At 47.0% G+C, this 15,658-nt stretch overlaps 1 pseudogene, besides 1 other annotated feature; it reads left to right on the forward strand.

Annotated features, from left to right (window-relative positions):
• Positions 2,877–3,077: a silencer, noted in NCBI's record as "peak6833 fragment used in MPRA reporter construct". NCBI's record gives its function as "represses an SCP1 promoter by STARR-seq MPRAs in K562 erythroleukemia cells {active_cell/tissue: K562}" and the evidence as "EXISTENCE:reporter gene assay evidence [ECO:0000049][PMID:32103011]".
• On the forward strand, positions 5,720–6,160 carry COX6B1P1 (cytochrome c oxidase subunit 6B1 pseudogene 1; annotated as a pseudogene).

A 15,658-nucleotide genomic window follows, 5' to 3' on the forward strand; every position in this document is an offset into this window, starting at 1 on the left:
CACGGTGAAACCCCGTCTCTACTAAAAATACAAAAAATTAGCTGGGTGTGGTGGCAGGCGCCTGTAGTCCCAGCTACTCAGGAGGCTGAGGCAGGAGAATGGCGTGAACCCGGGAGGTGGAGCTTGCGGTGAGCCGAGATGGCGCCACTGCACTCCAGCCTGGGCAACAGAGTGAGACTCCATCTCAAAAAAAAAAAAAAAAAAAGGAATAGAAATATTTTGAAGTTTCCCAGAGTTTCCCATACCTGATAGAGCAAAGTGAGATTCTGATGACTAAAGTTAGAAGGGAACTTGATTCAAGAAAGCAACTTACAGTAAGCACCTCTCACTAAGGTCTGTCCCCGTCCTAACCAGGCCATGGCCTCCAGAAGTTTGACTGTATTTCTGTTTCATTACTTTTTCATATCCAGATGCTGCTCTTGGACAGCTTCCTTTCCCACTTTTCTCAGTGTCTATACAAAAGCTTTACCATATTACTTAAGTTCCCTACTTCCATTGTTTATCATCTTCATCCACAGCAGATATTTCATTTTCCGAGGCAAAAGGGACATAAACTTCTCTGCCTTCTGCACCAGTGGTGGTGGGCAGCCTCCAAGATGGTGCCCAGCAACCCCTGCTGTCCTGATCTGCTCATCTTTCTGCAGGCCCCTCCATCTAACTGAGCATGGAATGGACTTACTGCCTCCCTTCTCACACACAGGATACCAAGGAAATTATGAGCTATCACTTTTGAGATTAAGTTTTTAAAAGACGATGGCTTCCATAGTGAGTGAGCTCTCTTGTTCTTTCCAGCACTTGCTCTCTATCTCTCTGTGTCTCTGTCTCCATGGTGGAAGCCAGCGGCCATGTTGTGAAGCAGCTCTATGGAGAGGCCCATGTGGGAGGGACTGAGGCCTGCCACCAGCCACAGGAGAGAGCATGGCAGTGGAGCCTTCCTTCAGTCAAACCTTCAGATGAGACTGCAGCTCCAGTTAACAGCTTCTCGAACCTCATGAGAAGCTTTAAGCCAGAGGTACTTGGTTAAGCTGTGCCTGCATTCCTGTACAACAGAAGCTGTGAGATCATAAATGCTTGCTGCTTTAACCCACTAAGTATTGGGGTAATGTTTTACGCAACAATAGGTAATAGGTAGTTTGTCAATACTTAGCTCCAAAGGAAGGTCAGGTCCTTATTCCTTTTCAAAAAGAGCCCTTAGTCCCATCCCCTGGACCCCATCCCCTGTTTGCTTCACAAATTATGTCCTCTTTTTTTTTTTTTTTTTTTTTTTGGGAAGGAGTCTTGTTCTGTTGCCCAGGCTGGGGTGCAGTGACACAATCTTGGCTCACTGCAACCTCTGCCTCCCAAGTTCAAGCAATTCTCCTGCCTCAGCCTACCGAGTAGCTGGGACTACAGGCATGCGCCACCATGCCCAGCTAATTTTTGTATCTTTAGTAGAGACAGGGTTTCACCATGTTGGCCAGGATGGTCTTGAACTCCTGATGTCAGGTAATCCACCTGCCTGGGACTCCCAAAGTGCTGGGATTACAGGCGTGAGCCACTGTGCCCGGCTGCATCTTCATTCTTAAAAATCCTTACTTTGGGGCTGGGTGCGGTGGCTCACACCTGTAATCCCGGCACTTTGGGAGGCCAAGGTGGGTGGATTACCTGACATCAGGAGTTCAAGACCAGCCTGGCCAACATGGTGAAACCCCGTCTCTACTAAAAATACAAAAAAAAAAAAAAAATTAGCTGGGCATGGTGGCAGGTACCTGGAATCCCAGCTACTTGGGAGGCTGAGGCAGGAGAATTGCTTGAACCTGGGAGGCAAAGGTTTCAGTGAGCCGAGATCGCACCATTGCACTCCAGCCTGGGCAACAAGAGCGAAACTCCGTCTCAAAAAAAAAAAAAAAAAAAAATCTTACTTTGGATTCTTGTTTCACTTTGTAAGGTTTCTTCTTTATAAGGTTTTTTCCTCCTTTAACCCTCAAACCTGAAAGAAGGCCAGGTATGGTGGGTCATACCTGTAACCCCAGCACTGTGGGAGGCTGAAGCAGGTGGATCACTTGAGGTCATGAGTTCAAGACCAGGCTGGTCAACATGGTGAAACCCCGTCTCTACTAAAAATACAAAAATTAGCGGGGCATGGTGGAGCACGCCTGTAGTCCCAGCTACTCAGGAGGCTGAGGTGGGAGAATTACTTGAATCTGGGAGTTGGAGGTTGCAGTGAGCCGAGATTGTGCCACTGCTCTCCAGCCAGGGCAACAGAGCGAGACTCCATCTCAAGAAAAAAAAAACAAAGAAAAAAAAAACCTGAAAGAATAGTCGCCCACATAACAGGCTAGGCTTCCCCCACTGCCTCATCTCCCATACTTAATGCAATTGGTTTCTACTCCCTATGAACCCTAGAATCTCACCAATTGCCAGTGATGACATCTCTCTCTGTATCTCTGTCATTCTCTTTTTTTTTTTTTTGAGACCGAGTTTCGCTCTTGTTGCCCAGGCTGGAGGGCAGTGGTGTGATCTTGACTCACAGCAACGTCCGCCTCCGGGGTTCAAACGATTCTCCTGCCTCAGCCTCCTGAATAGCTGGGATTACAGGTGCACGCCACCACACCCAGCTAATTTTTTTTGTATTTTAGTAGAGACGGGGTTTCACCATGTTGGCCAGGATGGTCTCGGTCTCTTGACCTCGTGATCCGCCCGCCTCGGGCTCCCAAAGTGCTGGGATTACAGGCATGAGCCACCGCGCCTGGCCTCTCTCATTTTTTTTTTTTTTTTAGAGACAGGGTCTCACTCTGTCATCAAGACTGGAGTGTAGGGCACAATTATAGCTCACTGCAGCCTTGAATTCCTGGGCTCAAGGTATCCTCCTACCTTGGCCTACTAAAACACTGGGATTACAAACATGAGCAATTGTGCCTGGCCAACCAATAACACCTCTCATCACCACTTACAAAGGTCTCTTCCTGTGCTCTATTCCTGCATGAGGACTGTCTGACTGGGACTTACCTCACTGATTGCCTCACTGGTTAGGCGAGTAGCCACACTCACCACAAGTATTCACATCCTTGACTTCTTTGCAACAATCCTCTACTCTAGGGGTGTCCAATCTTTTGGCTTCCCTGGCCCACATTGAAAGAATTGTCTTGGGCCACACATAAAATACACTAACATTAACGATAGCTGATGTGATGGTTAATACCGAGTGTCAACTTGATTGGATTGAAAGATACAAAGTATTGATCTTGGATGTGTCTGTGAGGGTGTTGCCAAACGACATTAACATTTGAGTCAGTAGGCTGGGGAAGGCAGACCCACCCTCAATCTGGGTGGGCACAATCTAATTAGCTGCCAGCATGGCTAGAATATAAGCAGGCAGAAAATGGGAAGAGACTGGCCTAGCCTCCCAGCCTACATCTTTCTCCAATGCTGGGTGCTTCCTGCCCTTGAAACTCGGACTCCAAGTTCTTCAGTATTGGAACTCTTTCTTTGCTCCTCAGCCTGCAGATGGCCTATTGCAGGATCTTGTGATCGTGTGAGTTAATACTTAATAAACTCATATATATATAAACATACATATATATATTCCATTAGTTCTGTCCCTCTAGAGAACCCTGACTAATACAGATTTTAGTACCAGGAGTGATTCTAGAGGAACAGAATATTAAGGATGGAGTTCTTTTGTTGGTTTTGGGGTTTCTGGAGTCAGCTGCTTAATATGATTAGAAATGCTAAGGACTATACTTCTAATAGTTTGGAGAACACTGATAGTCCTTTAGCATGAACTGTTTAGAGAGTTGTGCAAAATAAATGCATTTGACACTCCTGATTCATTGCTTGTGAGAGGCAAGGAGTTTAGTGACTCTGTACCTAATACCTTTCACCATATGTGGAGAACCAAGGAACAAAATGAAGCTGGTTGGTTGCTTCTAAATTCAATGGACAGAGCGATGAAATAAAATAATGAACTCAGGGATTCTATTTCCCAGCTTCAGAAGCAGATACTGAGCCTCAAATCTGCTAAGATTGTCCTGAGAGTCTCATCTCCTGTAGAGAAAGAGCTGAAATTGTGGAAAAACTGACACAAGCTCTTATCATGTGAGTGGCTGACCTGCAGTGACAGGTGCATGCACAGCCTCACCAGGTGTCTACTGTTTTTTTGTTTGTTTGTTTGTTTGTTGAGATGGAGTCTCACACTGTTGCCCAGGCTGGAGTGCAGTGGCCCGATGTGGGCTCACTGCAAGCTCCGCCTCCAGGGTTCACACCGTTCTCCTGCCTGAGCCTCCCATGTAGCTGGGACTACAGGCACCCGCCAGCTACAGGCGCCAGCCACCACGCCTGGCTAATTTTTTTTTTGTTTTGTTTTGTATTTTTAGTAGAAACGGGGTTTCACCATGTTAGCCAGGATGGTCACGATCTCCTGACCTCGTGATCCGCCCACTTTGGCCTCCCAAAGTGCTGGGATTACAGGCATGAGCCACCGCGCCCAGCCAGGTGTCTACTATTAAAGTGAGGGCATTGATCGGAAAAGAATGGGACCCTGCAACTTGGAATGGGGACGTGTGGGAGGACCCTGATGAAGCTGGGGGCACTGAGTTTGTAAACTCTGATGAACCTTTTTTGCCAGAAGGAACAGCTTCCCCATCTCCAGTAGTGGCAACATCCCTCCCCGACTATGCTGCCATCAGCCTTTCCACCTTTGTCTGAGGAGATACAGCTTGTGCTGCCTGAGACAACAGTGATGGCCTCCCCTGAGGCAGTTGCCAGGCAAGATACTGTTGATTCTCCTCAAAAACCACCCCAACACCCGTGTTTGCTTCTAGACCTATAACTAAAGTCCTGGTGGGCCCCTAGAGGTGAGGCTGAGAGTGTGACCCATTAGGACATGTGCTACACTTGAAAAGAACTGCTTGAGTTTTCTAATTTATATAAACAGAAATCTGGAGAACAGGCATGGGAATGGATATTAAGGGTGTGGGATAATGGTGGAAGGAACAGGTCGGGCACAGTGGCTCATGCCTGTAATCCCAGCACTTTGGGAGGCCAGGGTGGGCGGATCACCTGAGGTCAGGAGTTCAAGACCACCCTGGTCAACATGGTGAAACCCTGTCTCTACGAAAAAAAATGCAAAACTTAGCTGGGCTGGTGGCGGGCTCCTGTAATCCCAGCTACTTGAGAGGCTGAGACAGGGAGAATTGCTTGAACCCGGGAGGCAGAGGTTGCAGTGAGTCCAAGATCATGCCACTGCACTCCAGCCTGGGCAACAGAGTGAGACTTTGTCTCAAATAAATAAATAAATAAATAAATAAATAAATAAATAGATGGAAGAAACACAGGGTTGGATCAGGCTGAATTTATTGATTTGGGCCTACTAATTAGGGACTCTGCATTTAATGTTGCAGCTCAGGGAGTTAAAAAAAAGGTTCTAATAGTTTATTTGCTTAGTCAGCTGAAATATGGATTAGAAGATGGCCCACTGTGAGCGAGCTGTAAATGCCTGATCTCCCTTGGTTTAATGTAGAGCAAGGGATCTGAAAGCTTAGGGAGATTGGGATGGTGGAGTGCATTAGTCACTTTAGACCTACTCATCCCAGCTGGAAAGGTCCAGAAGATATACCCTTGACCAGTGCTTTGCAAAATAGATTTGTGAGGGCAGCACCTGCATCTTTGAAGAGCCCTGTAATTGCTCTTCTCTGTATGTCCGATCCAATAGTGGGAATCTCAGTCACTCAACTACAAAATTTAAATACAGAAGTTGTATCTAGGCTGCCTTTGGGATTCAGCACCATGGCGGAAGAAGACATCGAGACCGAAATCAAGAACTACAAGACTGCCCCTTTTGACAGCTGCTTCCCAACCAGAACCAGACCAGGAACTGCTAGCAGAACTACCTGGACTTCCACTGCTGTCAGAAGGCAGTGACCACTAAAGGAGGTGATATCTCTGTGTGCGAATGGTACCAGCATGTGTACAAGTCCCTCTGCCCCACATACTGGGTCACAGCCTGGGACAAGCACTGGGCTGAAGGCACGTTTCCCGGGAAGATCTGAACTGGCTGCACCTCCCTCTCCTCTGTCCTCTGTCCTTCTCCCAGGGTGGTGAAGGGGGACCTAGTACCCGGTGATCCCCACCCCGGCATCCAAAATCATGACTTCACTGCTAATAAAAACTCATGGGAAAAAAAAAATTTAAGTACAGTGGGAATAACTGGATCCCAAGTTGGCAGACACCAAGTGGCAGCACTCAATTGTCAAAGGCAAGGTGGGCATAGCTACCCTAACAGACAGCAGAGGCAAAGTGGCAATCAGAATAGTCTGACTCGTGTAGAACTCTGGCATTAGCTAATTAATCAGTGTTCCTAGAAGTGAAATTGATAGGCAGCCTACTGCATTCCTATTTAATTTATATAAGCAGAAAAATAACAGTTAAGGTCCAATGCAAACAGAAAGGGTCAGGAAAATGGGTTGGGCATGGTGGCTCACATCTGTAATCCCAGCACTTTGGGAGGCTGAAGCAGGAGGATCACCTGAGGTCAGAAGTTCAAGACCAGCCTGGCCAACATGGTAAAACCTCATTTCTACTAAAAATACAAAAATTAGAGCCAGGTGTGGTGGTGGGCACCTGCAAACCCAGCTACTCAGGAGGCGGAGGCAGGAGAATCACTTGAACCTGGGAGGCAGAGGTTGCAGTGTGCCAAGATTGCGCCATTGCACTCTAGCCTGAGCGAGAGTGAGAATCTGTCTTAAAAAAAAAAAAAGGAAAGAAAAAAAGAAATCTGGGGAAGAGGTATGTGGATGGAGCCTCTCTGAGTGGTCAAAAACTGTGAAGATATTTGTATTCCATGTGAGTGCTCCGCTAAGTGACCTCAGCAGAGGAGGATTTTAATAATCAAGTGGATAGGATGACCCGTTCTGTGGACACCACTCAGCCTCTTTCCCCAGCCACCCATCATCGCCCAATGAGCCCATGAACAAAGTGGCCATGGTGGCAGGGATGGAGGTTACGTGTGGGCTCAGCAAGATGGACTTCCACTCACCAAGGTGGACCTGGCTCTGGCCACCGCTGAGTGCCCAATTTGCCAGCAGTGGAGAGCAACACTGAGCCCTCGATATGGCACCATTCAATCAGCCAGCTCCCTGGTGGCAGGAAGATTATATTGGACCTCTTCCATCATGAAAACAGTAGAGGTTTGTCCTCACTGGAATAAACATTTACTCTGGATATGGGTTTGCCTATCCTGCAGGCAATGCTTCTGCCAAGACTACCATCTGTGGACTCACGGAATGCATGGTATTCCACACAGCATTGCCTCTGACCAAGGCACTCACTTTAGGGCTAAAGAAGTGTAACAGTGGGCGGCCGGGCGCGGTGGCTCATGCCTGTAATCCCAGCACTTTGGGAGGCCGAGGTGGGTGGATTACGAGGTCAGGAGATCCAGACCATCCTAGCCAACAGGGTGAAACCCCGTCTCTACTAAAAATACAAAAAATTAGCCGGGCGTGGTGGCGGGCGCCTGTAGTCCTAGCTACTCGGGAGGCTGAGGCAGAATGGCGTGAACCCGGGAGGCAGAGCTTGCAGTGAGCCAAGATCGTGCCACTGCACTCCAGCCTAGGTGACAGAGCGAGACTCCATCTCAAAAAAAAAAAAAAAAAAGAAAGAAAGAAAGAAGAAGTGTAACAGTGGGCTCATGTTCATGGAATTCACTGGTCTTAACCATGTTGCCCATCATCCTGAAGCAGCTGGATTGATAGAATGGTGGAATGGCCTTCACTGTAATTGAAGTCACAATTACAACTCCAACTAGGTGACAATACTCTGCAGGGCTGGGGTAAAGTTCTCCACAAGACCATGTATGCTCTGAATCAGCGTCCAATATATGGTACCGTTTCTCCCATAGCCAGAATTCACGGATCCAGGAATCAAGGGGTTGAAGTGGAAGTGGCACCACTCACCATCACCCCTAGTAATCCACTAGCAAAATTTTTGCTTCCTGTTCCTGTGACATTATGTTCTGCTGGCCTAGAGGTCTTAGTTCCAGAGGGAGGAATGCTGCCACCAGGAGACACGATTCCATTAAACTGGAAGTTAAGATTGCCACCTGGACACTTTGGGCTCCTCCTACCTTTAAATCAACAGGCTAAGAAGGGAGTTACAGTGTGGGCTGGGGTGACTGACCCGCACTATCAAGATGAAATCAGTCTACTACTCCACAGCGGAGGTAAGGAAGAGTATGCATGGAATAGAGGAGATCCATTAGGGTGTCTCTTTTTTTTTCTTCTTGAGACGGAGTCTCGCCCCGTCACCCAGGCTGGAGCACAGTGATGCTATCTCGGCTCACTGCAAGCTCCGCCTCCCGGGTTCACGCCATTCTCCTGCCTCAGCCTCCCACATAGCTGGGACTACAGGCATCCGCCACCACGCCTGGCTAATTTTCTTGTATTTTTAGTAGAGACGGGGTTTCACCATGTTAGCCAGGATGGCCTCGATCTCCTGACCTCGTGATCCACCTGCCTCGGCCTAGGGTGTCATTACAGGCGTGAGCCACCACGCCCAGCCTGGGGTGTCTCTTAGTATTACCATGTGATACTACCATGCCCTGTGATTAAGGTCTACCGGAAACTACAACAGCACAATCCAGGAAGGACTACAAGTGACCCAGACCCTTCAGGAATGAAGGTTTGGGTCACTCCACCAGGAAAATACCACAACCTGCTGAGGTGCTTGCTGAAGATAAAGGGAACACAGAACGGGTAGTGAAGAAGGTAGTCATTAATACCAGCTATGACCGCATGACCAGCTGCAAAAAGGAGGACTGTAATTTTCATGAGTATTTCCTCCTTTTGTTAAAAACGTGTTTGTGCATTTATACACTTCTACTTAAGAAAATATCTTCATGTTAGGCCAGGCGTGGTGGCTCACGACTGTAATCCCAACACTTTGGGAGGCCGAGGCAGGTGGATCACCTGAGGTCAGGAGTTCAAGACCAGCCTGGCCAACATGGCGAAACCCCATCTCTACAAAAAAATAAAAAAATTAGCTGGGCGTGGTGGTGCACGCCTGTAATCCCAGCTACTCAGGAGGCTGGGAGGATTGCTCGAACCCAGGCGGCAGAGATTGCAGTGAGCTGAGATCGTGTTATTGCACTCCAGCCTGGGCGACAAGAGCAAAACTCCGTCTCAAAAAAAAAAAAACAACAACAAAAAACATGTTATTTCCTTTCTTCTGTATCACATGACATTTAGATTTATTGACTTCACATCAGCATTTAAGTATTGTTAACTTTATGTCATAGTATTTGGGTTGGGGATTGGTGCGTTTCCGGTTGTACGAAGGATAGTTATATTATGTTAGGCATAATTATGACCCTATTATTATCTTTATTTGAAGATTATATATGATCTCAGGAGATGTGTATTGATTCAAGTTGACAAGGGGTGGATTTGTGATGGTTAAAACTGAGTGTCGGCCGGGCGCAGTGGCTCATGCCTGTAATCCCAGCACTTTGGGAGGCTGAGGCGGGTGGATCACAAGGTCAGGAGATCGAGACCATCCTGGCTAACATGGTGAAACTATGTCTCTACTAAAAATACAAAAAATTAGCCAGGCGTGGTGGCGGGCGACTGTAGTCCCAGCTACTTGGGAGGCTGAGGCAGGAGAATGGTGTGAACCCGGGAGGCAGAGCTTGCAGTGAGCCGAGATCGCGCCACTGCACTCCAGCCTGGGCGACAGAGCGAGACTCCATCTCAAAAAAAAAAAAAAAAAACTGAGTGTCAAGTTGATTGGACTGAAGGATACAAAGTATTGATCCTGGGTGTGTCTGTGAGGGTGTTGCCAAAGGAGTTTACTTTTTGAGTCAGTGGGCTGGGAAAGGCAGACCACTCTCAATCTGGGTGGGCACCATCTAATCAGCTGCCAGCGAATAATAAGCAGTCAGAAAAATGTGAAAAGGAGAGACGGTCCTAGCCTCTCAGCCTACATCTTTCTTCCATCCTGGATGCTTCCTGCCCTCGAACATCGGACTCCACGTTCTTCAGTTTTGGAACTCTGACTCACTCTCCCTGCCCCTCAGCCTGCAGATGGCCTACTGTGAGACCTTGTGATGGTGTGAGTAACATTTAATAAACTCCCCCATATATATTTTATATATAATATATATTATATACTTATTATATATTATAATTTATATATTATATTTATATAACACATATTATATATTATATTAACTTATATATATTATATATTCTATATATATTCCATTAGTTCCATCCCTCTAGAGATCCCTGACTAATATAGCTGATGAGCTAAAAAAAAAATCACAAAAAGACTAATAATTTTTTTTGTTTTTTGTTTTGTTTTGTTTTGTTTTTCGAGACGGAGTCTTGCACTGTCGCCCAGGATCAAGTGCAGTGGCCCTATCTGGGCTCACTGCAAGCTCCGCCTCCTGGGTTCACACCATTCTCCTGCCTCAGCCTCCCGAGTAGCTGGGACTACAGGCGCCTGCCACCACGCCCGGCTAATTTTTTTTGTATTTTTAGTAGAGACGGGGTTTCACCATGTTAGCCAGGATGGTCCCGATCTCCTGACCTCGTGATCCACCCGCCTCAGCCTCCCAAAGTGCTGGGATTACAGGCGTGAGCCACCGTGCCCGGCCGACTAATAATGTTTTAAGAAAGTTTATGAATTTGTGTTGGGCCACATTCAAAGCAGCCTGCAGGCTGAGGGTTGGACAAGCTTGCATTTGATACCAGTTCCATGTCTTCTGAGCTGTAGACAGAGATCAGCAAACTACAGCTTGTGGGGCAAATCCAGTGCCTGCCTCTTTTATTTTCACATTCCATGAGTTAAGGATGGTTTTTATATTTCTCCTTTTTTAAGAGACAAGGGTCTTGCTCTGTCACCCAGGCTGGAGGGCAGTGGCACAATCACAGCTCCCTGCAGCCCAACTTCTTGGGCTGAAGCAATCCTGCTTCAGCCTCCCAGAGCACTGGGATTACCGTTGTGAGCCACCATGACTGGCCGTACACTTTTTAGCTGTAGAAAACAAAAAAAATCAAAAGAAGGGCCGGGCACAGTGGCGCACGCCAGTAATCCCAGCATTTTGGGAGGCTGAGGCAGGTGAGTCACTTGAGGTCAGGAGTTCGAGACCAGCCTGGCCAACATGGTGAAACCCTGTCTCTACTAAAAAAAAAAATACAGCTGGGCCGGTGGCTCACACCTATAATCCCAGCACTTTGGGAGTCTGAGGTAGGCAGATCACCTGAGGTCAGGAGTTCGAGACCAGCGTAGCCAACATGGCAAAACCCCGTCTCTACTAAAAATACAAAAAAAAAAAAAAAAAAAAAAATTACCTGGCGTGGTGATGGGCTCCTGTAATCCCAGCTGCTTGGGAGGCTGAGGCAAGAAAATTGCTTGAGCCCAGAAGGCGGAGGTTGCAGTGAGTCAAGATTGCACCGCTGCACTCCAGCCTGGGAGACACAGTGGGACTCTGTCTCAAAACAAAAAAAAACAAAGCTGGGCATGGTGGCTCACGCCTGTAATCCCAGCACTTTGGGAGGCCGAGGTGGGCAGATCTTGAGGTCAGGAGATCGAGACCATCCTGGCTAACACGGTGAAACCCCGTCTCTACTAAAAATACAAAAAAATTAGCCGGGCGTGGTGGCAGGTGCCTGTAGTCCCAGCTACTTGGGAGGCTGAGGCAGGAGAATGGTGTGAACCCGGGAGGTGGAGCTTGCAGTGAGCCGAGATAGCGCCACTGCACTCCAGCCTGGGGGACAGAGCAAGACTCTGTCTCAAAAAAAAAAAAAAAAAAAAAAAGGCCGTTGTAATCCCACCTACGTGGGAGGCTGAAGCACGAGACTTGCTTGAACCCAGAGCAAGACTCCATCTCAAAAAAAAAAAAAAAAAAATTAGCCATCGTAATCCCAGCTACTTGGGAGGCCGAGGCATGAGAATTGCTTGAACCCGGGAGGTGGAGGTTGCAGTGAGCCAAGATCCAGTCACTGCACTCCAGCCTCAAAAAAAGCAAGACTCCATCTCAAAAAAAAAAAAAAAAAAAATCAAAAGAAGGATGTTTCATGGCATGTAAAAATGATATGTAATGCAAGTTTCAGAACTCATGAATAAATTTCTATTGGCACACAGCCACTCTCACTTGTTTATGTATCTTTTATGCTGCTTTCATGTTGTAACAGGAGAGTTAGAGTTGAGAAGTTGCAGCAGAAATAGCTTCTTATCTAGCCATTTTGCTTCCAGTTTCTCCAGATTCATTCAACCTACATCATGTGATCAGTTAACTTTCCAATATACAGATCATTCCCTTCTCATTTCTAAAGCCCCTGTGGCAGCCTAATGCCTTTAGGATGCAGGCCAAATCCAATGCAGCATTCAAGGCCGTCCATGAGCTGGCCTCACACAGGTTATTTCCTGCCATTTTCCCCCAAAGAATCCTATGATCTAGCCACAAAAGATGACAGGGCAGTCTTGAACGCACTCCATTTTCACCACCCTTTGTCTTTTCTCAAACCCTCTTGAAATGCCCTCTCCCATCTCCTTAACCCAGGAAAATATTTTTTTCTTTCTCTTTTTAAATCATTTAAGGCCTAGAGCAACCGACTTTTCCTTAGTGAAACCTACACAGGAAGAATTAATTGCTCCGTCCTTTGTATAAGAAATTCACAATACTTCCCAAAGTGAATTCCACAGAATTCCAGTCCTAAAGGGTGTGGCTACCAAATATTTGTAAAAAGTGTTCTCAGCCAGGTGCGGTGGCTCATGCCTGTGATCCCAGCACTTTGGGAAGCCGAGGTAGGCAGATCACCTGAGGTCAGGAGTTCGAGAACAGCCTGACCAACATGGTGAAACCCCATCTCTACTAAAAATACAAAAATTAGGCCGGGAGCGGTGGCTCACGCCTGTAATCCCAGTACTTTGGAGGCCAAGCGGGGCACATTGTCTGAGCTCAGGAGTTCGCGACCAGCCTGGGCATCTGGTGAAACCCCATCTCTAGTAAAAATACAAAAACTTAGCCAGGCGTGGCGGTGTGCTAATTTTCCCAGCTACTTGGGAGGCTGAAGCAGGAGAATTGCTTGAACCTGGGAGGCGGAGGTTGCAGTGAGCCTAGATCACGCCACTGCACTCCGGCCTGGGCAACAGAGCAAGACTCCATCTTAAAAAACTAAAAAAAAATAAAAAATACAGGCCAGGCGCAATAGCTCACGCCTGTAATCAATGCTCATCTTTCCAGAATTGGGAGGCTGAGCCGGGCAGATCACCTGAGGTCAGGGGTTCGAAAACAGCCTGACCAACATGGAGAAACCCCGTCTCTACTAAAAAAATACAAAATTAGCGGGGTGTGGTGGCACATGCCTGTAATCCCAGCTACTTGGGAGGCTGAGGCAGGAGAATCGCTTGAACCCGGGAGACAGAGGTTGCGGTGAGCCAAGCCCCCTTGCGCCATTGCACTCCAGCCTGGGCAACAAGAGCGAAATTCCGTCTCCAAAAAAAAAAAAATTAGCCGGGCATGGTAGCAGGCGCCTGTAATCCCAGCTACTCCGGAGGCTGAGGCACAAGAATCACTTGAATCTGGGAGGCCAGAGCTGCAGTGAGCCAAGACCGCCCCATTGTACTCCAGCCTGGGCAACAAGAGCGAAACTCTGTTAAAAAAAAAACAAAAAAAGTTGGGGGGGGGGCGGTTCTCAGATGAAATAAACTTGGGAAATGACAGATTAAACAAAGTTTAACAGGTTTATTTGTTGCAGGGCCTCTCTGAGCCTTTAAAAATGCTGACAGCGTGGCCAGGCACGGTGGCTCAGGCCTATAATCCCAGCACTTCGGGAGGCCGAGGTGGGATGATTATCGGAGGTCAGGAGTTCGAGACCATCTTGGCCAATATGGTGAAATCCCATCTCTACTAAAAATACAAAATTAGCTGGGCCTTGTGCGCGCGCCTGTAATCCCAGCTACTCGAGAGGCTGAGGCAGGAGAATCGCTTGAACCCAGGAGGCGGAAGTTTCAGTGAGCCGAGATTGTGCCATTGCACTCCAGCCTGGGCAACAAGAGTGAAACTCTGTCTCAAAAAAAAAGAAAAAAGAAAAAATGCTGAGGGCAATTGTAAATCTGCCTTATCTGGAGAACACCTTTGGGAACATGAAGTGAAATTGGGGCCATTGGCAACTATCATTCTCAGCATATGAAAGAAACCTATGCAGTTGGAGAAAATAAGGTCAACACAGAGGGAAGCAAAACTAAGAAGAAAGAGCACAAAAGTGCCCTGAACCACGGCGTGAGCCCCTGCACCCAGCCAGCTGTGAAGACAATCCGACCACTGGGCTTCCTATTACATGAACCTATAAGCTACTTTTTATTTTTCCTTTAGGTACTTTGAGCTGAGTTTCTGTCATCTGCAAGCAAAAGTGCCCTCACGCAATACATATGCCTTTTTTTTTTTTTTTTTTTTTTGAGATGGAGTCTCACTCTGTCACCCAGGCTGCAGTGCAGGGGCATGATCTCAGCTCCCTGCAACCTCCACCTCCCGGATTCAAGCAATTAATTCTCCTGCCTTAGCCTCCCCAGTAGCTGGGATTACAGGCGCCCACAACCATGCGTGGCTAATTTTTGTATTTTTAGTAGAGACCGGGTTTCACTATGTTGGCCAGGCTGGTCTCAAACTCCTGACCTCAGGAGATCTGCCCGCCTTGGCCTCCCAAAGTCCTGGGATCACAAGTGTGAGCCACTGCACCCGGCCCATATGTCTCTCTCAGTGGGCTATTTGCCCCATGAAGGTAGGGACTATATTTTATTTATCTTTCTACTTACCCCAGAATCTGATACATGGGAAGTATGCAATAAGTGTTTATTGATTTCTCCTGAATTAAATAAAGGAATGAAAATTCTGGAAAGATGAGCATTGATTTAACTGGCACATACACTTCTGGCTGTTTTGTGGGTTGCGTTCTAAGACAATAAAGCCAAAATGCAGAGACCCTAAGAAATTGGTGGCAATAAAGCATTTGATTAAGGTATTATAAGGCAAATAGGATACTTGGAAGACATGAACTAGGCATAATTATCAAGGAAATAATTTTTCTCAGGATATCCTACTGATAAGTAGGTTGCTGTCTCCAGAGGCCAACCAAGCAGCCAACAGAAAGAACAGGTAACCTGCAGAGACTTGCTTAGTCTCTGATTTCATGAATTACTCTCAAATTTTCAACAAAAACCCATCTTGCCTAGAGAGATCAGAGCTTCACAGATACTCCTCATCCCCTGCTTGTAAAGTTCCTTCTGATATCCATCCAGATTCTCCTACTCCTGTATTGAAAAACAGATGGCCATGTCGTCAAAGGTCATTGCCACTTGGAACCCCAAACACATTTCCTTTTGTCTCAGGGTGGCTTCACACCTGTCCTCATCAGTAATGTTTAAAAGCCCTTCTACCTTTGTTATATTGGGGAAGGAGTTAGGACACAAATCTTGAGAAGGCAGAATATTCATCATGTGAATTGACTTAGGCTTTAGTGACATAATTCCAGGAATAGACTTGTGATGATTTTGCTGTTCCTCTTTTCAAAAGTTAACCAGTGCTGCAAACAAAGCAGATTTATACCCTGACAGAGGTGGAATATTGAATACATAGGCCCTTGTTTTACAGGAATAGTTTGGGGAGACTCATAGAGAAGTC

This window comes from Homo sapiens, chromosome 7 (assembly GCF_000001405.40).
Source record: "Homo sapiens chromosome 7, GRCh38.p14 Primary Assembly".
NCBI classification, from domain to species: Eukaryota; Metazoa; Chordata; class Mammalia; order Primates; family Hominidae; genus Homo; species Homo sapiens.